Here is a 27446-nt window from a genome sequence, read left to right as displayed (position 1 = left end):
ATACTGTATGATCTCACTTACATGGAATCTAAAAACATCAAGTTCATAGAAGCAGAGAGTAGAATGGTGGTGACCAGGGGTGAAGGGAGGAATGGGAGATGGTCAAAGGGTACAAAGTCTTAGTTACGTTAAGATGAGTAAGTTCTAGAGATGTAATGTACACCAAGGGACTACATAGAGTTAAAAATACTATGTTACATATTTAAAATTTGCTAAGAGTAGATCTTAAGTGTTCTTAACATGTACGCATGCACACACACACACACACACACACACAAAGGTAACTGTGAAGGAATGGATGTGTTAATTAGCTTGACTATAGTAATCAGTTTACTGTGTATATGTATATCAAAACATCATGTTATGCACCTTAAATACATACAATTTCAATTTAAAAAACAAACAAAAAAATCTAAGTAAAACCAGTACCTGAGAATAAACTAACATCCGCGAGTCTTGGGACGTAAGGAGGTAAGAGAACAAGAAGAGTTCAGATGGAGTAATGCTGCCCAAAATACAATCCTCGGGCCAGCAACACTGGTATAACCTGTGAGCTTGTCGGGAATGCAAATTCATGGTTCCACTTCTCCCTACTGAATCAGAAGCGCTGGACCAAGCGGGCCCAGCAAACTGGTTTCATAAGTCCTCCAGGTGATTCTGATGCCTGCTGAGGTTTGAGAGCCACTGAGCTGAAAGAATTTCTGGCACAGATGCAGCCTCTACTCAGATGAAACAGAAGGGGAGGGGACTTTCTAAAACAAGAAAGATTCTTTTTGGAAGGTGGAAGGAGGTGGGGAAAGGAATGCTGTTACTAGAGAAACATGACTTGAGGCAGCAGTCTCCAGCATGTCCTCTAGGATCAGGGAGACTCCTTGGTGCTTGCCCAGTGGTCACAGCCTGGCCATGAAGGATGGAAGAAGAAATGAGTAGGAAGGGAAAGACAACAAGCGTGGGATTTCAGCGGGCCCTGCACTGAGAAAACGTCCCCTTGTGCTCTCCCTATACCTAGAATTCCTTTAAATGGGACAACGTTTTTTGTTGTTCACTCAGTCTGTTCTTCACTCACTGTTACTTGAAGACATTGCTGGGAGCTAAGGACCCGAGGCTGAAGAATGTCAGAATCTTTACTCCAGAGGAGCTCACAGGCCAGAATAATATATTTAAGATGAAAGTGCCAACTGAAGTCACATATTCCCGGAGGTCCATTGTTTAATTGCAATTTCCCAACTCCATGAAGTTAGGCATAGAGAGGTGACTTACTTTGGTCAGAAAAATGTGAGTGGAGAGATGTTCCTCTCTTCCTGGTGAAAAACTTTAAGAGCTAGTGTGTGACATGACATGATCCCTTCCCCTTGCCATGGTGACCAACAACCTTCCAGATAGCAATGGGTCAATCAACTCAAGTTCTCAGGTAAGGATGATGTGGAAGAGGGACTGGCCAAATCACAATGGACATGAGTAAGTGAGAAATTCACCTTTGTTGTTTTAAATACTGATATTTAGGGGTTGTTTTTACTGCACATAACCTATTCTGACTGATACAAGTAGGTATTAGTATTATTCCAATGTTATATATAAAGAAATAAAAGAGAGATTAAAACAACTTACTAAAATACAGAGAGGTGGTGCTATAGTCTGAATGTGTCCCCTCCACCAAAATTCAAATTCATATGTTGAAAGTTAATGACCAATGTGATAATGCTAAGAAGTGAGGCCTTTAGGAGGTGATTAGATCATGAGGGCTCCACTTTCATGGAGAGGATTAATGTCCTTATAAAAGAAGCTTCATATAGCCTTCATCCCTTTTGCCTTTCTACCTTCCACCATGTGTAGCACCACCTTCCACCATGTGTGGCACCATCTTGGAAGCTGAGAGCAGCTTTCACCAGACACTGAAACTGCTGGCCTTGATCTTGGAGTCTCCCAGCCTCCAGAGCTAAGAAAAATAAATTTCTGTTGTTCATAAATTAGTCTGTGGTATTTTGTTATAGGAGCAAGAACAGACTAAGACAAGTGGTGTCACTGAGTAAATGTTTTTGGTTTAATTCCTGATGCTCTGGTGTCAGGAGCCAAAGGAAATTCAATTACTTGATTCCACAAAGATTCCCTCTTGCAGCTCTAGTTCATACTTTGCCACATTGATATGTGTTTGTATCACATGACTAATAATTGATCAGAAATTGCCCACATCTAGACAAAAAATAATGAATGCTGGAGAGGCTGCACAGAAAAGGGAAGTCCTATACACTGTCAGTAAGAATGTAAATTAGTACATCCACTATGCGAAACAGTATGGACATTTCTCAAAAACATAAAAATAGAAATACCATATGATCCAGCAATCCCACTACTGGTTATTGATCCAAAGGAAAAGAAATTAGTATATCAAAAAGATGCCTGTACTCCCATGTTTATTGCAGCACTATTCACAATAGCAAAGATATGGAATCCACCTAACTGTCCATCCACAGATGAATGGATAAGGAAAACATGGTATATACACACAATGGAATACTATTTGGCCACAAAAAATAGTAAAACCATGTCATCTGCAGCAACATGAATGGGACTGGAGGTCATTATGTTAAGCGAAATAAGTCTGGCACAGAAAGACAAATATTGCATGCTATCACTCATATGTGGGAGCTAAAAAATTGGATCTCACAGAGGTAGAGACTAGGATGGTGGATTCCAGAGGCTAGGAAGAGACTGAGGGGGAGTGGTGGTATGTAGAAGTGTTGGTTAATGGGTATAAACATACAGTTAGATAGAAGAAATAAGTTCTCATGTTCAATAGCAGAGTAGGGCAGCTATAGTTAACAACAACGTATCGTACATTTCAAAATAGCTAGAAGAGAGGACTCGATATGTTCCCAATACATACAAATGAGAAAAATTTGAGGTGGTGGATACCCTAAATATTCTGAGTTGACCATTACACATTCTATGCATAACAAAATATCACATGTACCCCAGAAATATGTAAAATATTATATATTAATTTTATAAAAAGAAATTGCCCTTATCTAAAGAGGTTAAGCATATTGCCCACTGTGACTGTGTGACCAAAGGAAGGACCCAAACCCAGATCTTTCTGACTCTAAAGCCTGTGATTTTATCACAATGCTACATTGCTGTCATGACTAAATGTACTCTAAGCCAACTAAAAGTTCTCATCTCAACTCCACCCTTAATAGCAATAACCTTGAGGTAATAATTTAAGCAATGACTTCAGGTTTTTATTCGTAAAGTGGGAATATTTATCCTCCCTTCCTCACAGGTTGCTATGAACTAGACTGAATTTTAAAGGTTTGCAAATCATACATCTAAGAATTAGAAGTAGTAAATCATAAAATTTGAGCTCTGGGACACTCTCTGGTTCATGAGTGGCTCTAGAAAAAAGCAATAATTTTGTATTCATCTCTTTAGAATAAAAGCTTTTTACTTTCATTATTTGTGATGGAAATAATACTACTTCATTCTTGTCTCCTCAAACAATATTAAACATCATTTGATTTTCTTTTGATGACTCAGAGTTGTTTTGGTGTGTTTTGATTATGAATATCAACCAGGACATGGTTTTGTGCAATCCTCTGACAGCTGTGTGAAAAGCCAGTCTTTCCTTAAGAAGCTTATCTATATATGATCAAGAATGAGAAATGACTTTTTAAAGCATAATCATGCCAAGAGGTGAATGTGGTTAGTGTGCTCACACTAGTGAAGGTCTGCAGGAGTCTGGAGGAGGAAGAGATGGACACTAGGCCAATACTGCAACTGTCTTTTCCTGCCCAATTCATGACCAAGGGTTTTAATTTGCTGTGGCCCTGGAAATGAGATAACAAAGTAAACAGGCTTATGGATGTGTGCAAATTAAGAGCAAGCGAAGTTGGAGTGAAGACTTTGAGTATACATATGCGTTGGAGTTTATGACAACTATTTGACTTGTTTGATTATGAATATCAACCAGGACAAGGTTTTGTGCAATACTCTGAAAACGAAAAGCCAAGGTCTTTCCTTAAGAAGTTCATCTACATATGATCAAGAATGAGAAATGACTTTGGAGTTTTTAAAATTTTGTGTGTGTATGTCTACTTCCTGGTTTTGCTTCATCCTTAATAAGCAAAGGTCCATAAAGTGTAAAGTTATGATACTGGATAGCCTTTAAATGGTTAAAGAGTTGTTTGTTAGATATGTTGTAGCCTTTGAGTAGAGGAAAAATCTGTTCTAGATTTTACCTTCCATATAATACAAAGAATTCATAAAGAATCCTTTCCACTTGTTCAGGGCTTGCCAGTATATTTAAATTTCTCCACCTAAAAGATTCTTTCTATACACACTTACATGTTGCTAAATCAACTTCAACCTGGGTAGATAAAGCTGTTGATATTTTCAAACTAACTTTTAAAAAGCACCACCCATTTGTGCTCAAATTTTCATAATTTTATTTTTTTCAAACTCAGATTGTCAGAATAATTCAACACCAAAAGTGTTTGAGTGACATTCAAATCAGTCTTTCATACACTCACTCATTTGTTGCATTTATTTATTTTCATTCATCTAACAAATATTTAATTAGCATCTACTATGTGTCAATCACTCTGCCAGGGGCCCAGGGATAAAATGATGAACAACTCAGACTTGATCCTCACCTTCTTAGATCTAAATCTTGAGTGGAAAGGCAGAAATTAAACAAACAATTATACATATGATATGTATTAAAAAGAGAAAATGTAGCATGGTATGGAAGTGAATATCAAGGTGGGCAATCTTAGTCTGGAAGGTTTTAGAAGGCAGTTTGAGGAAGTGACTTGAAACTGAGATAGTGCAGGGAAGGAAGGGAAGACTAGCATGTGCCAAGTCTCAAATACTGGAGTACCTGGTTTCAAAGAAATGAATGAAAAACAATGTGGCTTGGGCAGGCAGGTGAGTGAAAAGATAGCAGGGCAAGACCATCTGAGATTTCATAGATCATATTAAGGAGTCTGAACTCTATCTTAGGAGACACCATGATGATCTCTTCTAGCAGAGATAGAAGAGGATCAGATTTGCATTTTTATAATATTCATGCTGCTGTATGGAAAGGGGCAAAAAATAGATGTAGGAAGGCCATTTAAGAAGCCCCTACAGTAACTCAGGAAAGAGATGATAGCAGCTTGAACCAGGGTGGCAGTCACTAGGGTGAACAGAGTAGACAGAACAGACAGCTATTTAGAAGACAGAATACGAAGACCTTGACACTGGGTGTGGGCAGTAAAGATGAGCAGCTATCAAGATGATGCCCAGTTGCTGGCTTGAGCAATTGGATGGATGATGGCACCTTTTACTGTAATAAGAACAAATGAAAAGAAGCTGTTTGAAGAAAGAGTTTAGTTTTGAATATGTTATTGGTTCTTACATTCCTAGAGACTTGCTGTTAATTGACTATATGTATAGACACACACACACACACAGAGAGAGAGACAGAGAGAGAGAAATCCATCCTATAATCAAAACTAAAAATTTAATCCACTAATAAGCATGAGGCTTAGTGACTATGAATCATAATAATGTTTTTCTTAGTGAAATACAATCTCTGAATCTTCACACTAGAATCAAATGCTGGCTGATGAGTATAATTTAGTACTAATTTCTGTTCTCTTACAGCATCATTTATTTGATAATGAAGAACTGTGGTAGCATTTAGTATAAAGTAATTGTTAAATTCAATATACTATTAAGAAAACAACAAGAAAAAGCCTGCGTCCAACTGCTTCCAAAATAAAAAATCTTAAATGTCATAATTACATTGATTTTTATTATCATTTTAATGATAAAAAGAAAAAAAGCCACAATATTTAGAAAATATTTGGTATATAAAACACTTTGAAACCCTGAAAGAAGAATTCAAAGTATCATTGTTACCAAATTATTACTAGTTTGATTTTCAAATGACTTGTTTCAACACAGATAATGAATTTTCACTAATAATGCTTGCATACTGTGACACTTCCTTACATACACATAGCACAATAATTCAGCTACACATCATATCACAGATTTTTCTTTTAGGTTTGGGCGCAACCTCAGACACCCTTCAATAACTGTCTAGTGGCAGCAGGAAAAGGAGGGTTTCATGACATGTGGGTAGAGGAAGGATATCTCGTGAGCATGGGAGGGGTGGATAGATTTCTCGTAATTTAGTAAACGACGAAAGTAGGGCTCAAAGAGACCCCCACATCCTTTCAAAATGTAAGGATCTGCCATGTTACGGAGACTTCAGCTCTTTCTCTAAGTACTGGTAAATAGTTTTGTTTTCATTATATAGAGCTGATTTCTTCACCAAGGAATGGTGCAATTCGTTAATAATGAAGCTTGTTATTGGCAAGTCAAGCACACGAAAGTGAGGAGAACATATTAAAGGATGCATCCCTCCAGGTTTGAATTTTATCTTTTAGTCTCACAGGGTACACAGGAACCTTCTGCTCATTCTCCCAAATCCCCCAGTCCTTAGTACCTTATTATGTGCTCACTAGGAAAAGAAAAACCCTCTCTTTGAGGTCAAACCTTTCTTCTTTCCAGCCCCTAATGGTCCCTAACTCCCTGCTTGCCCTCTGTTCCTCAGAGTAACCCCTTTCCTTCTGCTTCCCTTGAGGATAATTCTGCAAGTCCTTCCATTCCATTGAATTGCATTCCACATAGGGTGGTAGGGATGAGCTTTCAGTCCCTAGGGGGTAGATTATCTACAAAACAATAAAATATTTCATGCTGAACCAAATACTTGACGTCCTATGAATGAATATGCTAAGGAGCCTCTGACTCTTCCTTTCCTTTATATTTCATATCCAAAGGTGGGTTTGGAAGTTCAGTATGGTGCTGGCCCCATAAAAACAGTCTGTGCTGAGCAAAGAAAAACAGCCCTCAAACCATACATATGTATTTGCTGGTTTACCTGTTTATGATGTGTCTCCTCCACTAGATTATAAAGGGAACATTTTGTTCACAAGTTCCTAGCATAGTGCCTGACACATAGTATGCTTCAAATGACATTTATTGAATGAAGGTGGAATCCAGAGAACTGGACTTGGCCAAATGATGTTACAGGAGTCATTGAACTATTCTGTGCTCACGAGGTTGTGAATTTCAAGAGAGACCATGCATATATTCTTGTACTGAATTATAGATATGTGACAAATTATTACAGTATTTACAAGCACTCTTAATGAAAATTCATCTTTACTAGAATGAGTCATTTGAAAATTAAACTAGTAATAATTTGGTGGTAACAACACTTTAGGTTCCCTCTTCTTCCAGGGTTTTAAAGTGTTTCATATACCTAATATTTTCTAGATATTGCAGCTTTTTTTTTTTTTTTTTTTTGAGATGGAGTCTTGCTCTGTCACCCAGGCTGGAGTGCAGCAGCGCGATCTCAGCTTACTGCAACCTCCACCTCCTGGGTTCAAGTGATTCTCCTGCCTCGGCCTCCCTAGTAGCTGGGATTACAGGCGCCCAACACCACACCCAGCTAATTTTTGTATTTTTAGTAGAGATGGGGTTTCACCATGTTGGCCAGGCTGGTCTCAAACTCCTGACCTCAAGTGATCCACACACTTCAGGCTCCTAAAGTGCTGGGATTACAGGTGTGAGCCACCATGGCTGGCCTCTTTTTATATTTTTTAATGTCATAATTACATTCATTTTTATTAAGACTTTTGAGAACAGTGAGAAGCAGGTTTTGTTGTTTTCTTAATAGTAAATTAAGTTTAACAATTATTCCATATTGCCAAAGAGATTCTCCTTCAAGTAAAAAATAAATAATACTCTAACAGAAATTAGTCCCCAAATCATATACATCAGTTAGCTTTTAATTCTAGTGTGAGAATTTAAAACTCCTATTTGGAAGAGGGAAGATAATGATATTCTAAGCACATAACGTTCAAAAGCTCTAAAGCAGCAAAAAGTTTGATATGTTCTGGGAACAGAAAGAGGGCCAAAGTGGCTGAGGCAGAGATGGACAAGGGGCTGGTCATGCAGCCTAGATAAAAAGTGTGTGGTTTGTTAAGTGTGTTTAAGCTGGATTGTGACACAATCTGATATGCAGATATCACTTTGGCAGCTGTGAGGATAATTATTCCCAAAGTGGCAAGAATGGAAGCAAGAAGTAGACCAGGTGAAGGATGTTGGTGGCTTGGACTAGGGTTGTGATAGGAGATGCTGAAAGGAACAGAAGACAGGACGCACCACATGGCGGGTGAAAGGACAAGAATCAAGGGAATTTCCAGATCTCTAGTGGGGGGGATGGCTGTGCCATTTATTGACATAGGGAAGACTGAGCGTAGGAAGAAGATTTGGCCTGAGGAGAGCAGTCAGTATTGGGAATCATGAGTTCAGGAGTGGGCATGCGAGTCTGAAATGCCTGTGAGACATCAAAATGCAGATGTCACACAGACACTGGCTACAGGTGCATGAAGCCCGGGGATGCCTACTTGACATCTGTTTTGATATCTCACAGGCATCTCAATGACAAAGTTTTAACACAACACAATTGAGATAAAAGAGAAATCCAAAGTAGAGGGCTTCACAGCCAGTTCCAGGGGCAAGATCTGGGCTAGAATACAAACTTGGGATTATCAGTATAGATTCCATGTGTAGAATGAGAGCAACCTTACACTTTTGTTCTGTTTAAAAGACCACAGATATGATGCAAGGTAAATGAGAAACTGCTGGTACTTGATTCTGAAGTTTCCATCATGAATTACTTTGGACACAAAATCCTCTGAAGACAACTTACTCCTAAGTAATTTATTGTACATACATATTTTACAGAAGATATGTTATAAATATACATTCATTTCTCACTGAATGCAGAATTAATCAGACATCAAAGTTTTGCCTTATTAAAATATGTATCTTCACATTAAAAAATAAATTGATATGAGGACATTTAAGAAATAATTTCTCTTCAATTATGTGTTCCAGAATCTTGGTTTCAGAATATGACCACAGATGTTTTGTGTTTGGCAAACCATTAGGTAACTCCTAAGTCAACCTTCCAAACTAGCATTGAGCAACAGTTCATCCCTAAAGCATTCGAAGGGGGTGAAGACAGCAGGAATCCACAGCACAGCAGAGGATTCCTGGTGACCAAAAGTGGGGTGCTAGGGCTTGGCTAGCATGAGAAGGATAGTCACTCAAAGGGGTGGTAGCCCTAGTGGGGTATTCAAGTCTGAGCTGGGTAAAGAGGGTGTCTCCACAGGAAGGGGAGTGGGGGTGTCTAGGCACAGAGTTTCAGAGCCCAAGCCAAGAGAGGAGCACTTCATATGGGGCTGTGGGCCAGCACAAGGTGTTAGAATCTGAGAGAGCTGAGATGGGACTCCCTGTGGGAGGGGCAAGGTGGATGAGGAGTGGCAATGCAGAGCACAGCCACGCAGGGAATCAGCACTGACAGTGAGAGGCAGGAGTCCCTGTGGGGCAGAGTGAGGCAAGGGCTGCAGGGATGAGAGACTGTTTACACAGAGAGGGCCTGTGAGTGGCGGCAATACCCAGATAGCAATAAGCACACCCATCATTCAGACCTTGGTTTCTAAATACCATTTTCCACTAAAAAGAAAAAAAAAAAAAATCAGGCTTCTGGGAGAAGTAGCTAATTTCAGAGCTAGAGCAGGAAAAGGACAAGATGAGCTCACAACGATTAGTGCCAAAAAAAAAAAAAAGCCAAGGAAACGTTCAACAAATGATGGGGTATGTCAAAAAGGCTTGAATGAGCTTCCACTGGTCAAATATGGGATAATTGAGCATCAAAAGAAATAATGATAGTGTCAGATTTTAACCTACTAAACTACAAGACCATAATAATATAAACAAACAAACGTATACATTGATACTTTAATAAGGAACAAGATATTTACATACATTTGATGTACCCCCTTACAAAAAACAGTAATTAAAAATGGAAAATATCATGCAGTTTTACAGTGGCAGGCATGCCTAATCAAGTGACCAAAGTGAACATCATTATCATGGGACAAACTGAAATGCAGTAACCAACACAATGAGAAGACAGCACGACTTCTGTGATAATCCTGCCAAACCTGAATCTAACAACAAGCAAGCACCAAACAAACCAACCTTAGGAGACACTCTATGAAATAACTGGCCCTTCCAGTTTATGAAAGTCAAGCAAATACCGAAGAAACATTCCAGATTGAAGCAGAGTAAAGAGATACAACCACTAAATTCAACACATGATTTTGGATTGGATCCTTCTGCTATAAAAGGCATTACTGGAAAACTGGCAAAACTGAAGTGGGATCTGAGAATTCTGTGGTAGTAATATACCAATGTTAGTGCTTTGAATTTGAAGGTTATGTTGTAGTTATGTAAAGAATGTCTTTGTAAGAAATGCACACTAAGGTACCTGGAGGTGAGAGCAAGTTACTTTCAAGTGTTTTAGGAAAACAGCTTTTTGTACTGTACTTGCAAAATTTCTGTAATTATAAAATTTAAAAAAAACTCTTTTAAAAATGGCATTTATTTGTCTTAGCACCCCATAAGCTAAGACATTCATCCCAACACAGTCAACTACTGGTTTAAAACAAATCTCAAGCGTCAATGTAAGATGCCATATTGATTTTTTTTTTTTTTGAGATGGAGTTTCACTCCTCGCCCAAGCTGGAATGCAATGGCACAATCTCGGCTCACTGCAACCTCTGCCTCCCAGGTTCAAGCAATTCCCCTGCCCCAGCCTTCCGAGTAGATGGGATTACAAGCATGCATCACCATGCCTGGCTAATTTTTGTATTTTTAGTAGAGACAGGGTTTCACCATGTTGACCTGGCTGGTCTCAAACTCCTGACCTCAGGTGATCCACTTGCCTCAGCATCCCAAAGTGCTGGGATTATAGGCGTGAGCCACTGCACCTGGCCTGATTTTCCAAAACTTCTACTAAAGGCATTGCAGTCTCCCTACAATAGCCAAGTCTAGAGTCTACTGTGGCTTTCCTAGAGCTATGATAACACTGACAACTTATTCTTAATTAAATAAAGAAGGTCATGCCCCTAAATCCAATCTTATCAGAATTAAAACATAAGTTCATTAACATTTCACTTGGGCTTTTGAAGTGCTAATTCTTGTCATGTTTTCTGATTATCACTTAGCTTTGTTGAAACAACGGATCTGCCACACTCAACAGGAGCAATGACTCATTTTTGTACATGGGTTCTAAATACTACAAAATTATGATACCATATGAAATCTTTTCACCAAAAAGACTTGTAGCACTACTGGACAATTTCAGAGAAATATGAGGTTTTTCTTTACATGGTTCTTTTTCCATTTAAGCAACTGCTATATATTCCCTTAAAATAAAAACTGTCTAGAAAATGCCCACAATTACCATGAAATCATCTGGATTTAGACATTTCATTTAAAAATGAAAAAGTTAATGTTAAAAGCTCTTGTATCACTCCAGAGATTTTGAGTCCATCTGAATTTCATTGGCCCTTTAGTTGTCTCTTACTGAAGAGTTTCTAATATGTAAGATGAGAGCAAAGCAGTGAAGCCAAAGCGATGAGGTTGGTCTTCAGCCCCTTCCTAAATCAGCCAGACCACACAGGGAATTCCCACTCACAGAAAACTCACAAAGAAACTCTGATCACAGGAACACCCAAAAGTCTACCTAGGAGATAAGTTAAGGCTCAATTCCATAACTTAAACACATTCACTTTAGTTTCAAAATATATGATATTCAATCCAGCATTTTATTTTAAAGAAATGTAGTGTGCAATGTTGCTGTTAGAGTAGTGTGCAATTTTGCTGTTAGAGTCATACAAACTGCAATAAATACCATAGATCTTCTAAAAACTAAAAATTAACTTCTCATACTTTTCTGATATTTAAAGATTGCAACATACTTCAAGAACGTGATTCATTGTTTTTACTTAAACAGTGAGTTTTCATTAAAAAAAAAAAACTGAGAGACAGAAAGGAAGTGCCTTTCATACATAAGGCCATATTATTCCATAGAGAATAACTGCCTCAAAAATCATACTGAGATTCACTATAATTAATGCTGGCCTCCCAAATTCTAGGTCACTGGCTTTTAAGACACCGAATTATCCTCTTCTTTTGTCTAACCACCTGCTAGTCATGAGACATCAAAATACTTTGTATTATAAGAATGACAGTCAGGAAAAAAAATCCTATCTATCTGAAGCATTACCTGTCCATCAAATCTTTGAATTGGAGCCAATTCTGTCACAGATAGAATGTGGGAAATAGATCACTAAGCAGAATTAAGCAAAGGCTGGCACCTCCTCACTGGTCCCTGGAAGCCTGTCAGATCCCACATAGTTGCAGAGACAAACTTGTGTAGAGCAGCCTGGCATGGCCCAGAGGTCCAATCTGTCCTGAGACCAGGTATTTGAGATTATTTCTGACTTCATTTTATAAAGTTTATTTCATATAAAGGGAGGCATGCTCATTCAAAGGGTAAAACATAAATAACCACTTAAAGATAAATAATGAAATTTAAAAATAGGCTTTGAGGTATCATGGGTCAGTTCATGTCCAATGGGAAGCAGATGTCAAGAGAATTAGAAATGATTATTGGGGAAAACACCTGTGACAGATAAAGAAAAGAGGGTGCAGGAAAAGGTAGAGAAAACCTTAGACCACCATGAAGCCTTGGAAGCAACGAAAGGAAGGAAAGAAAGCAGGAATGAGTAGGAGGAGATTCAGATGCATGTGGCTCTGAGAAAGTATCAAACAAGGACTGCCCATTAGAGGAGTGCCATGTGAGACAGAGCTGGCCTGGCGTTCATATCTCACCATGCTCAGTCACTGTCTGGGAATATCCCAGGGTCAGGGAGGGGGTGGTGGTCCTGTGTGAATGCTGCAGTGGATCAGATGTGGCACCTACAGGCTGTTGGCCAACTACTCCTATGGCAGGTCTCCCCTAAAGGGAGATCTGAGTGGCACCCTCATCAATGGTGTCAATGCAGAAACAACCAAACTAGAAAAACAGTATGCATATACTACACAGGTCTTTTCATATCATTCTACTACTTGAAAGCCTGTCAAACTTCTCTGTGACCCACATCATAATACCCAAACCCCTCCACAAAACACATGGTCTTTCAGAATCTGGACCCTGCTTTTCTGGTCAACTCCATTTCCTACCTCTTCTCCATAAGCACCCTACTACCCACACTCAAGCCACAGATATTTCCTCATGCCCACCCCACATGTCTCATGTCCTCTTTGTTCCCTTGACCTTTCAAATGCTCCTTTCTTTGTCTATATCTGATTCCCCAACCCTGTCTAAGATGCAACACATGCCAAATCCATTCAGGCCTCTGGGGCCATCCAGAGATTTTGGAAAGTAGATAAGGAACAGGTCAGGGTCAGAGGATGGAGGCTAGAGACAAAAGCAGTGTCTCAAATACTCAGAGGGTCTGGGAAGAGGTTTATCATAGACTTTCTCTGGCCTCAAGTGTAGTTGGAGGAAAATATCTGGGAAAGTGCCTACCTGGGCAGAAAACCCAGAATGCTCCCTCCTGATCCTTCTGGTAAATTCCTATCCATCCTTCAAGACCCTCATTGGGTTTCGAAGCCTCTACAGTCTGCTCTGCCCAATCCATCAGGTTTCATAACTCCTTCCTTTGGGCCACTACAGTATTGTGCACTACGGGGCACTTTTATTACTATCCTGGGAATACTGTTTCCATATCTGCCTCCAGACTGCTCCAAACTCCTTGACCGTGCTTTACCAACCTTTGCATGCCCCACATTTTGCAGGTGGAGCATAGTAAGTGCTCAAAATAGGTTTGATGAATGAATGGCATTTACTACAAATATAACCATATAGATGATATGTAAATAATACATCAATATACTTGTTACATAAAAATAAAAAGGATAGCAGACGTAAAATTCAGAGATCAGGTCTGAGATGTAGCCTCTTAAATCTACTTCTAAGGAGAATAAATTTCAAAGTTTGTGAGAGTCAGGCTCCCTTCCTATGACCCTTTATATAACTTTTCTGTTTCTAAAATGTTATTTGTAGTCTGATTTGCAATATAAATCATTTGTCTGCTTAGTTTTTTCCCCTTCACATTAGAGGCACCTCGGAGCTTCTTGGCTCTTACTCATCTCTACATGTCTTGCAGCACCTGTCAGTGTTTTAAACATAGTAAGCATTTATGATATTGACCAAATCAAGTATCTCCGTGGACACACCTGTGTAAAAGTACATGAGTAAATGATTATTGAGATAATTCCTCCAAAGAGTGCTAATTGAGGCAACAAAGGTTTTGGTTTTGAATTATCTAGATGGTTATTTAAATCATCTCCTTGCTAAAGTCTGTAAATGCAGACAAAATATACCTCCCGACCATTAACAATCCTACTGTAGCAAGCTCCTTGTGCAAATGAGAAGAAACTACTAACCCTGTTGTCATGCAAGTGTGATATTTCACAATCTTGATGCCCAAACCACATTCCAAGATGAACCAAATCCCTAAATAAAACATTAGGTTAGATTTCATCCAATTAATTTTGCTTCTGTCACTGTATTTCAGATGGTACTTAAAATACATTTAAGCATTTTCAGATGCAGAGTCAAGCTTCTCTGCCTCCCCTCACCCCCTCATTCACATAGGCTTAATACAGCACCACAAGACTTCCAGAATACAATTATAATTCCAAGCGCCTTTCACATTATGTAATGGAGGCTTCACTCTCCCCGTATGAAAATAAAAGGAAAACTACACTAAAATCAGGTACAATGCGCTCAAAACCAAGAAAACTAGATTATAAACTCTTTAAGGTTTACATTTAACATTTAGCAGAGAGGAAAAAATAGCCTGTCATGAGCTTTGTTCAGGAAACGAAAGGAGAAAGTTTAAAAAACGTGGAGAGATCAGCCATCAAGAGATCAAACAAGGCCCAGATGGGAGGCTAAGACATAAAGACAGTGAGTATGAACTACTCTTGCTAAGATTTGAGTCTTAAAGGAAAAGAGAGCATTAGTTAGAGATGGGTACAAATTAAGGAGAGAGGACTGGGCTTCTGTTTAAGACAGAAGAACTGCTTCTGACAAGGCTGACAAAGTCAAACCAAACTATTTCCAGGCTGTAAGACTGAGAAGTAAAGTTCTTTCATTTGCAATTCAGGACATTATTTATCAGGTATAGAGTCTACAGCAATGCACCTGGAAAATGGGAACCGGATAAGAGAAAACTACTGTCACATGTATTAACATAACATAGATTAATCTCACAAACACAACAGAGAGTGGAAGAGCTAGTTTCAGAAGACTATATATATTTAGATTTCATTTATATTTAAAAATATGTGAGACTAAACAAGGTTTTTAAGGGATGCATACACGTGACTAAACTATAAAGAAATGCAAGGGGGAATCAACATAAAATCCAAGATATTGTTTAGGGGAATGTGGGAGGAGGGATCAGAGCACACAAGGGCTACAGATATATTTAAAAGGGTCTAGTCTTAAGCTGGATAGTGTTTTTCTAAGTATTACTCTTTAAGCTGCACATATATTTTATATTTCTCCTTTGTGCATGTAGTATATTCTATATATTTTTAAAAATCAAATAGAAATTAGACAGAAAAAAACTCGGCTATATATGTAAACGGAAAGGAGCCAAGAGGAAAAGTTAGATATTGAATATATGAAAAGACAAGGATCTGATGGAGACAAATCCTGGAGGAGAAATGATGTATGAGCTCCTTCCTAAAGAATGCATTAACTTTGGAGAAGAGGATCATCTATTCCCAGAAGCCAGGGAATGATAGAGGGTGAGGATAAGCTTGCATTAGTCTGAAGTAGATGAAATTGCTGGTTTTGCAAGTCAAAACCTAGTCAAACATGGGCAGGGTCATATGTGTCCACTCAAGACATGAAGAAGCAACCTGCCAGTGAAGTGTTAAGCATGTGCAGTGTCTATCATCTGGATTAGGAAGCAGCCCATCTACCGCAAGCTAGCAGTGGGTCAGGAAGCCTGGGGAGGGCAATGAGAACCAGCATAGGGAGAGGACACACCAGGTGTGCACAAGAGGGCTGCTGAGCAGTGCTGAAAGCACATAGGAGCTGGAAACCATGACTGTGTAATGACAATAACCCACTAAATTGCACGATTTTCTCCAGGAGCACTGAGCAACCCAGTTCCCAGAGGAAAGTGAGAGTTCCCAGGAATATGAAAATGCATGATTCCTCATTCTCAGTTAGAATGATTCTCCTACCATGATGCAAAGTCAACTAATGGAAAGTGAACTGTAAGAAGAGACCAAAATGAAACTGCTGCAGTAGTCGAATTTAAGTGATAAGAGCAATTCTTAAAAGTTTCTGAAAATGAATTTCCATTCATAGTTGCCACAAAAAAAAATAAAATACCCAGGAATACGGCTAACTAGGGAGGTGAAAGATCTCTACAAGGAGAACTACAAACCACTGCTCATAGAAATGAGAGATGACACAAACAAATGAAAAACATTCCATGCTCATGAACAGAAAGAATCAATATCATTAAAATGGCCACACTGCCCAAAGCAATTTACAGATTCAATGCTATTCCTATGAAACTACCATTGAGATTCTTCACAGAACTAGAAAAAAAAATTTTTAAATTCATATGGAACCAAAAAGAGCTCCAATAGCCAAGGCAATCCTAAGCAAAAAGAGCAAAGCTGGAGGCGTCATGCTACCCTACCTGACTTCAAACTATACTACAGGGCTACAGTAAAACAGCATGGTACTGGTACCAAAACAGACACAAAGACCAATGGAACAGAATAGAAATCCCAGAAATAACCGCACAACTATAACTATTTGATCTTTGACAAACCTGACAAAAACAATGGGGAAAGGATTCCCTATTCAATAAATGGTGCTGGGGTAACCGGCTAGTCATATGCAGAAGATTGAAAATGGACCCCTTCCTTACACCATATACAAAAATTAACTCAAGATGGATTAAAGACTTAAATGTAAAACCCAAAACTATAAAAAACCCTGGAAGACAACCATTCAGGACATAGGTAAGGGCAAAGATTCCATGACAAAGACGCCAAAAGCAATTGCAACTAAAGTAAAAATTGACAAATGGTATTTAATTTAACCAAAGAGCTTCTACACAGCAGAAGAAACTATCATCAGAGTGAACAGGCAACCTACAGAATGGAAGACAATTTTTGCAAACTATGCATCTGACAAAGGTCTTATATCCAGCAAATATAAGGAACTTAAATTTACAAGAGAAAAACAACCCCATTAAAAAGTGTGCAAAGGACATAAACAGGATATTATTTTTCAAAATAAGACATACATGCAGCCAACAAGCATATGTAAAACTCATCATCACTAATCATTAGAGAAATGCAAATCAGAGCCACAGTGAGATACCATCTCACACTAGTCAGAATGGCTATCATTAAAAAGTCAAAAAATAACAGATGCTGGAGAGATTGTGGAGAAAAAGGAACACTTATACACTGTTGGTGGGAATGTAAATTAGTTCATCCTCTGTGGAAGACAGTGTGGCAATTCTTCAGAGACATAAAGGCAGAAATACCATTGGACTCAGCAATCCCATTACTGGTTATATACACAAAGGAATATACATCATTCTATTATAAAGACACTTGCACATGTATTATGTTCATTGCAGCAGTATTCACAATAGCAGAGACATAGAATCAACCTAAATGCCCATCAATGATAGACTGAATAAAGAAAATGTGGTACATTTACACCATGGAATACTATGCAGTCATAAGAAAGAATAGGATCACATCCTTTGCAGGGAAATGGGTGGAGCTGGAGGCCATTATCCTCAGCAAACTAACATAGGAGCATAAAACCAAATACCGCATTTTCTCACTTATAAGTGAGAGCTAAATGATGAGAACACATGGACACATAGAGAGGAACAACACACACTGGGGCCTACTTGAGGTTGAAGGGTGGGAGAAGGGAGAGAATCAGGAAAAATAACTAATGGGTACTAGACTTAATACCTGGGTGATGAAATAATCTGTACAACAAACCCGCATGACACAAGTTTATCTAGGTAATAAGCCTGCACTTGTACCCCTGAACTTAAAATAAAAGTTTTAAAAATGCTGTAAGTCATGTTGAAAAAAAAATAGCAAAATGAAAACAAAGTTCCTGAAATAAGAAGGATTTACTCAAAAACTATAGATGATCCAGGCTTTTTTCACTGTAAAAATACATGTTATCAAATATAAATTTTTCATTCAAAATTCTATCATTTTTAGCATATAATCTGCCTCTTCTAATAATGTTCTGATTATATAAATAATCACCATTGTGAATCAGCAGGTTAAAAATACCTCAAAGTTAAAAAAGAACTAATTCTGGATACCGTTTATCGAAATAATAATAATTAAGAAGAATTCATTATTACAGTATCTAAAATCTACTTGGTATGAAAGTGCTATCTTCTATGGTCATAGATTCTGTCTGAACATCTGAAAAGAAAATCTGTGATCTACTGTAATCAAAATTAATTATAAAATGGCTTCTTATGAATATCTTGCTACATTTATCAAAAGAGTTCAATTTAGTAATTAGTGATCATTAATGTAGTCAAATGACAGGTGTCCCTCAGAATGGAAGGGACCATCTACTATCCAAATGCTTTTCCCTGCTAAAACAAGTGGTTTTACCTGGTGTTTCTGCACTTAGAGATATAAAGAAAGAAGCAGGACAGCCAGGGATGGAAACAATATGAAATTATGCCACTGAGGATTTGGAGGATGGAGAGTGGTAACTGGAGGCAAGATGCAGAAATTGCAGTTAAAAGTGATATGGGGGCATAAAGAAAAGAGATGGAGATGGACTCTTGCATACATGTAGATAACATAAAGAGGCTACATTTTTACAATGACAAGAAGTTATTCATGATATAATTTCTAATAGAGGATAGGGATATTTATAAATAAAACTTCTAATAGAGGTTAGGGATATTTCACTTTATCTAACATACATACTTTAAATAAACTTTGTATATCAACTTTCTGTAAAAGTAGATAAGTTGAAAACCAAGGATTTATAGAAATTCCTTGAGTTTGTTATGAGTTGTTTAAACTGCACACATTATATTCTTCTTTTGTGTCTGCAGTATATTCCATAGGTAGACAGCAAGAAAGAAAAGTCTTGGCTATGATATATGCTGAAGAATGGAAACCAAAAGGAAAGGGAAATATCAAAGGTATAGAAAGACAGGAATAATTGATAGAGTCAAGTTCTGGAAGAGAAGACAAATTATGGAATCTTGAGATGGAGACCCCAAGTAATTCTCATAAGCATAATAAAAGGTTCCTTTGTGGGTCTTATCCAGTTAGTAATAAAAATAGATAAACTGATTGTGGTTTTTAATTTAGATCTACTGAGTGTCAACCTTTTGTATTTTTTGCTCAACTGATTCCCATTTTCCATGAACAGCGTTGTCTCTCCTGCAGACACAGTGTTTCAGTTTTTATTTCTTGGAAATTGTTTGTTGTGTTTCACTTTAAAGTTTTCACCATTTCATCATTTTTATGTCTTTTTTCCATAATACTCTGTTTGTTTATTATATGAACTATTCTTATGGCAAATTGTGATATTTCTCCCATAAAAGCAATTCAGAAATTCATTCTTTTGAGTTTTGTAGTCATAGTAATAAAACCAAAAGCCTTAAGGTTTTTTTTTTTTAAGAAAGGCAGCTATGAAGATACAAAATTTTAAACTCCTGTAAGGCAAAGCCACGATAGTCAACATTAGGGCACAAACAGCAAACAGAAAGAAACTGCATGTCAGACAAAGGTACACTGTCCCTACCATATAAAGAGTTCTTAGAAATCAATGGTTTAAGAAAAATGGAAAAATAGGACATAAACAGGCAATTTACAAAAGAGAAAAACTGAAAAAAGCTCACAAACACACACACACAAACATTAAAGAAGAAATACTAAGTAAATAAGTGAGAGACCACTGTTTTTACCTATCAAATTTACACATTTAAAACAACTGAAAAGACCTACTAATGGCAAAGTATGGAAAAAGTGTGAAGTGGAAGTACAATGGGTACAAACCTTCAGGAAAACAATCTTGCAATACTTAATTTTTAAAAATGCATATAACCATAGACCCAATGAAGGCATTAAATATACAAAATTATTTGACAGGTATACAAAAATATATGTACAAGGATACCTGGTTGCAGCACTGTTTAATACAGTGAAAAAGACAAAAGAAAAGACAAAAAAGTAAAGAAAAAAGAAAGAGAGAAAGGAAGAGAGAGAAAAAGAAAGCAAGAAAAAGAAAGAAGGAAGGAAGGAAGGAAGGAAGGAAAGAGAGAAAGAAAGAAAGAGAAAGAAAGAAAAAGAAAGAAAGAAGCAAGCAAGCAAGCAGGGGGAGGGAGGAAGGAAGAAAGGAAGGGATCTAAATTATCTGTAATAGGGATTAGTCTAATAATTTATGGTCTAGCTGAACAATGGAATACTATGAGGCTAATAAAAATAATAATTTACTGCTGTGAAAAGATGCCTTCCATATAAGAAGTGAAAAGGCAAGATATTAATCAACATGACACCTGAATACAGTGAGGTGGCACTCTGAGGTAAGATGGACCTCCTTGCTAGAAAGACACAGAATTGCTGAATAAACTATAAAAACAAAAAAGGTTAATGCATAGCTGAGCTCTGATGAAGAAAAGAGACATCCCCACTCCCCATTTATTTCCAGAAATGAAGAGGTACCCAAAGTCAGAATGAAAAATTTCAGCTGATGTCAAGGCATCTCATGGAAATTTCAGACCTAGATGTAAGGTCCATCACTTAATGACTAAATTTTGTTTATTTATTTGTTTGTCTGCTTCTGTAACAACTGTGTGGGTTCAGGTGGTGTGATGAAAAGGAACACAAAGCAGGGGGTTGGACTTGGAACCCTAGAATAGAGTCTGTGCCCCGGACAGTCAATTATGTCAAAAAGAGGCAAGAAAACTTCAGTCACTGGCTCAGTGAAACAATAAGGAAGCTTATCTTTGCCTAAAGCTCCAAGTGTGTGGCTAGGCAGAACCCAAGTTAAACTCTCCATGAAGTACAAAAACCTTAGGTCACAAAATTATAGTGAAGAAAACTAATCTTGGACTAATGAAACCCCTCAAAACCCAGCAGAAATAAACATGTCCATTGAAACAACTGTAACTCAGGGCTTACATATGAAAACAGTGCCAGTTAAAGATAAGCTCACAATTAAAAAAAAAAAAAATCATAGGAGCTAAACTGTCACTATGACAGAGTCAGGAGATTCTCCAAACAGTAGGACTCATAACCCCAAGAACTGGAGATAATTAAAAAAATAGGAAAGTGACTAAAAAGAGAGCTGTGGATGTGGTGAACAGGGAACAATTCTACACTGCTGGTGGGAATGTAAACTAGTACAGCCACTATGGAAAGCAGTGTAGGGATTCCTTCAAGAACTAAAAGTAGAACTATCATTTGATCCAGCAATCCCACTAGTGGGTATCTACCCAGAGGAAAAGAAGTCATTATTCGAAAAATATACTTGCACATGCATGTTTACAGCAGCACAATTCACAACTGCAAAATCGTGGAACCAACCCAAATGCCCATCAATCAACGAGTGGATAAAGAAACTGTGGTGTGTGTGTGTGTGTATATATATATATGTATATCTGTACATATACATATATATGTGTGTGTATGTATATATATATGATGGAATACTATGCAGCCATAAAAAGGAATGCATTAACAGCATTTGCGATGACCTGGATGAGATTGGAAACTATTATTCTAAGTGATGTAACTCAGGAATGCAAAACCAAACATTGTATGTTCTCACTGATATGTGGGAGCTAAGCTATGAAGATGCAAAGGCATAAGAATGATACAATGGACTCTGGGGACTTAAGGGGAAGAGTAGGAGGGGGGCGAGGGACAAAACACTACAAATATGGTGCAGTGTATATTGCTTGGGTGGTGGGTGCACCAAAATCTCACAAATCACCACTATAAAGAACTTACTTATGTAATCAAATACCACCTGTACACCAATAACTTATGGAAAAATAAATAATAATAATAATAAATAAATTTGAATATAAATAGGGAATAAATAAAAGAAGAAATAAAAATAGAAAACATAAGTAGAAAATAGTATACTATGAAAAAAGAAATGGTGTTTTTAAACAAAATTTGTCGAATAAAAATATAATAATAAATTAAAAGCTCAATGGCTGGATTGAGCTACAGATGAGTCACTGCTAGGGATAAAAGTGGTGTACAAAGATGCTTCTGAGGAAAACGCCATGAATAAAGAATTAGAAAACACAGTAGCTAAAATCAAAAAGTCCAAATTGGTCTATTAAGAATTCCTGAAGGAATCAGTAGAAAGGATGGGAAACAGGCAATTCAAAGACATAGTGGTTGAAAACTTCCACAGCTGATGGAAAACATGAATTAGCAGGTTGAAGAAATATACTAAGTTCTGAAGAATTTTTTTAAATGCATACTTACTTACAATGAAGTAAAACATTACACAAGAAAAACAGAAAATCTTGAAAACAACCAAAAAAAGGTTAAATACAAAGGAACAATAATGTGAGTAAGTATAGACTTTCTATAAGAAATTGTAGAGTCAGAAGTTAAAGGGAGTGGGAACTTCAGGGTGTTGAGAAAAAGGAACCATTAACAATACCTGCATAACTAGCTAAACTATCATTGAAGTCGGAGAAAAAAATAAATATATTTTCAGACAAACTAAGATTGTGTTTACACTCATGGATCATCAATGAAATAACTACTATGAAATAACTACTAAAGGATAGACTTTAGTAGAAGGAAATTGGACAATGAAAAAAATGAGATATGAGAGGCAATTGGGAACTAAGAAAATGGTAAACTAATCACTAAATAGCAATAAGAATTTACTATAAAAATATTATAATATCATTAGATGGTGACAGTTCTCAGAAGAAGACACACATGAAGTCAACAAATATATACATGAAAAAATGCTCATCATCACTAATCATTACAGAAATTCGAATCAAAACCACAATGAGATACCATCTCACACCAGTCAGAATGGCCATTACTAAAAAGTCTTAAAACAACAGATGTTGGTGAGGTTGTGGAATAAAGGGAACAGTTATACACTACTGGTGGTAGTGTAAATTAGTTCAGCCACTGTGGAAAGCAGCGTGGAGATTCCTCAAATAACTTAGAACTACCATTCAACCCAGCAATCTGAGTATACTGAGTATATTCTACTGAGTGTATACCCAAAGGAAAAGAAATCATTGTATCAAAAAAAAAACCCACATGCACTGGTATGTTCATTACAGCACTATTCACAATAGCAAAGACATGGAATCAACCTAGTTGCCCATCAGTGGTAGACTGGATAAAGAAAATGTGGTACATATACACTGTGGAATACTATGCAGCCATACAAAAATTAAATAATGTCCTTTGCAATAACATGGATGCAGCTGGAGGCCATTAACCTGAGAGAACTACACAGGAATCGAAAACCAACCACATGTTCCTACTTCTAAGCAGGAGCTAAACATTGAATACACATGGACACAAATATGGGAACAACAGGCACCGGGGACTACTTGATGGAGAAGGGTGGGAGGGAAACACGGGTTGGAAAACTACCTATCAGGTACTATATCACTACCTGGGTGATAGAATCATTTGTACACCAAACCTTAGCAACATGGAATTTACCCATGTAACAAACCTACAAATGTACCCCCGAACCTAAAATAAAAGTTGAGAGAGAAAAAAGAAACGTTTATAAAGAAAAATAATTCATGTAAAAATCTAGAGCTACCCACTAAAATAAAAATATTACTATATTTTAAAATAATTATTATTATGAAATTATTATTATTGCAAAGGATATGATTATTATAAAAATGTATACCTTCCAAAGCAACAGAAGGAAAAAAATGAAAACCTATGAAAGGGTAATCAATGCAATAAATAAACATATAAAAAGCCTGGTGAAAAGACAAACAAAATAGGATGGTGGAAATAAATCCAAATGCCTCAGTAATCATAATAAAACCACACATACTAAATTTACCAGATAAAAGCCAGAAATTTTCAGATTGGATTTCAAAAAAAACCACAAATTTAAAACATAAATGACACAAAGTAAAAGAATGGAAAAAGGCAAATACTAGCCAAAAGAAAGCTTGTATAACAACATTAACATATAAAATAGACTCCAAAGAGGGGGAAAAACATTATTAAGGATGAAAAGGATTTTTACATCATGGCAAAATGAACAATTTGCCATTAAAATAAAGTAATCTTAAATCTGTTTATCCAACAACATGAGTTTAAAATATAGAAAGCAAAAATGGACTAAGTTACAAAAAAAACTGATCCTTGTTAATGGAGATACAAATTGGTACAATCACTTTAAATTTCATATTTGCAATTATTAGTTAAGTTTAAAGCTGCCCTTAATCTATGATTTTACTTGAAAATATAAATCTTAGGAAATCTTACATGTGTAAGGAGATATGAGGTCCTCTGCAATATTGTTTGTAATAAGGAAAAACTGAAAATGAATTATTAATAGTTGCCCATCAATAAGGGATGGATGATATAACCATGTAATCTACACAGCAGTTTAAATAATCAGCTAGAGCTACAAGTATTAATCTGATTAAATTCAAAAAATATATTTAATGACAAAATGTGCAAAGAGCATGTGAACTAGGAAATCATTTAAGTAAACTTAAACGTACATAAGACAATGCTATAAATAATTGTAAGTACAAACAGAAAGTAAAAGTATGAAGCAGAGGTGAAGGCTGCACAACATCCTACTGGTTCTGAGGAGGGTGAAACATGGAATGCCGGGGGAAGAAGCCTCCAACAGTACCTTCTGGACTCTCATTTTATTTCTTAAAAAGTATTTTTACAGTATTTTCTAATGACAAAATGTTAAATTTCACCTGGATGATGGGTAGGTGCCTTCTCTCCTCTGTATATTTTTGTATACCTGAAATATTTCACTATTAAATATAAAACCTTAGCATATTAAAAAGTATGAGTGATTTCACTTTTTAAAAATATACAAAGTATAAATGTGTGTGCATATATATACAATATGTGTGTATATATAATGTATATGGTTTTGATATTTTTTAAAGGCTATGCTCAAAATATGGATAGATTACTGCCAACATTTATTTACTTCTTTATATTTTTTCCAAAATATCTGATTTTTTAGAAAGAAAAGTATTATCTTCCTAAAACCAAGCTAATGACAAGAAGAACAAATTCCCTCCTTTCCTCCTGAGATATTTTATTCTTTACAACCTTTATCTCACCAATTGAAAATATTCTTAGTTTAAAAAAAAAAAAAAAACAGACTGGTCAGAATCCAAAATAAGTTCTGAGTCATTTTTTGAGGCTCCAATAAAAATATAAACAAACAAAAATACATAAATAAAAAACTAGTGCAGAAGGTTTTTCTTAAGTTTTTCTAAACCTCTATCATCACTAGCATTTTCAGAGCACCCATTACAGGCAACAACTGCTGGCCCCATGTTCATAAGCATTAGAAATACTAACGTAATAGATAAAAAATCTGAGAGTAGAGAAATTTGTAAAAGCTTTAGTTGATATTTTTAGGCAAAAAGAAAAAATAATTAAACCATACTGGCTTTGCATACAGTTTATAACTAAAGTATGTCTAAGACTGTTCTTTGAAAATGATTCCAACATCAAGTATCCCTTTTCACTATTTTCATATTTACTCCAGAGAGAAAGATGGAGCTGTTTAAATGTTAAGTTTTAGCCACTAAAGGCACTATGACCAACTGGATAGCCAAGCCCTCTTTAGAACTGCCATCACAAAATGATTGTCTTACATGACCACAGTACTATTAGTTCAGTATTTTAAACTGCTGTTAAGCGTAACACTTGCTTTAAATTCAACGACTTTGATCCACCTTGAATTATCTTCTTGGATACATAACGCAATCCCCTCAAGAAAGTGTGTGGGATGATCCTGTTCTGTCATTAACAAATAAAACCTTCTCCATCTGACCTGTGATCTAAAAGCAATTGTTATGAACAGAAATTTCGTTCTTTAACAATTTATTTGTTTAAATCACTTCCTAATATCAGGTTTAATGAAAGCTTTTTTAAAAAAATTACTTAGCTGACTACTTAAGATTCTCAACCATACCCGAAACATTTTCAGGGCTACTTTACCTCAAATTAGTTGTTTCGAATAATCATTCCCTCTGAAGAGACCATTTTTGAGATCTGTTCTTTCTTAGCATGACTTCACAAATCTGCTATTAATGTTTCAGAAAGTTTAATAGAACAGACTGTCCAGGGCAGGCGATTGGAGCTGCTTTTCCACAGCCTCCAAAATTACAGATTGATTTTGACACGGGCTCTTCAACTAAGGGTTCCATCCCACTTGGGAAAGGGAAAAACTACTGAAATGACCTCTTTTCTAGGCAACTCAATCTAGCTAGAAGAATTATAAGCAATCCAACCAGTATGGCTGGATAGCTTGTCAGAATCTTCTGTGTGCGTGTTTCTGAGGGAAATGGGGAGTGGAAATTTTCCCATCCTATATGCAGGAAGGAGCTATGAAGATAGGTATTGAGTAGACCTAATACATATTTCCTGAGTGTCTACTACTTTCAAAACATTGCAATACAGTGAAAATTACACAGGACAAAGAAAGAAGACTAGGATACCGATGGAGGCTCTATCAGGAGGCTCCTGATTGGTCAGCTGGCTGGACTTGAGCAAGCCATGTAACTGTTCCTGGCCTCAATTTCCAGGAGAAATGGGCAATAATCACATGAACTTTCATATCCTTACCCTCGTACAAGTTTAGGATTCTGTGATTCACTGTTCACTAAAGGGCCTTAAGGCTTTTGCAAGAAGGCAAGTAAACCATGCCCACTATCCTCTGTTTACCCTGCACCATACCTTCTATTCCAGAGAGATAGCTTCTAACATCTCATGCATGCCTACTGGAAGCTCCAGAATGTAAACGCAGTCTTCAATTCAGTGCTTTGTATGTACCTTTTGACATCTTAACAAATGCATAAGGGATGCCAAAAAATAAATTAGCAAGGGTTCTGTCAGCCAGACATGAAGAGAAGAGGATAATCTTTGCCAAAAAATGTCCTCCCACATATAAAGAAACTGGTAATTGGAAGTAAGAGGAATCCCCCACCTCCCCAGAGCAGACTGTGCAGAGGCGGGTGCCCCTGCCAATATTCGAGCCTCTGCCAAAAGCAGAAGCAGCGTGGGGAGAGAAGAAAGCTCTGCCACCCCTGCCACTCTGAGTATTTACGGGGATGCATTCCAGCTCCCAACAGAAACCTGCTGGCAGAGGTAAGTATTCCCTTCTGTGGGTG

General features: G+C 37.1%; 1 protein-coding gene across 10 annotated transcripts in view; it reads right to left on the bottom strand.

Annotated features, from left to right (window-relative positions):
- The window catches only part of TMEM200A (transmembrane protein 200A), a 77537-nt gene that overhangs the window by 21280 nt on the left and 28811 nt on the right, over positions 1-27446 (bottom strand). Inside the window, exon 1 of one of the 10 annotated variants that reach the window (XM_017010230.3) lies at positions 26275-27315. The exons of 8 other annotated variants lie outside the window; for them this stretch is intronic. The gene's annotated coding sequence lies outside the window, so the exon portion shown is untranslated. Of the gene's footprint in view, positions 1-429; positions 697-26274; positions 27316-27446 lie in introns of those variants that run through there. One more of the 10 variants, NM_001258278.2, reaches the window with a different exon arrangement.

The sequence above is a fragment of the Homo sapiens genome, chromosome 6 (assembly GCF_000001405.40).
Source record: "Homo sapiens chromosome 6, GRCh38.p14 Primary Assembly".
Taxonomy (NCBI): domain Eukaryota; kingdom Metazoa; phylum Chordata; class Mammalia; order Primates; family Hominidae; genus Homo; species Homo sapiens.
Note: the sequence above shows the minus strand (reverse complement) of the source record. Positions and strands in the feature narration are given on the sequence as shown.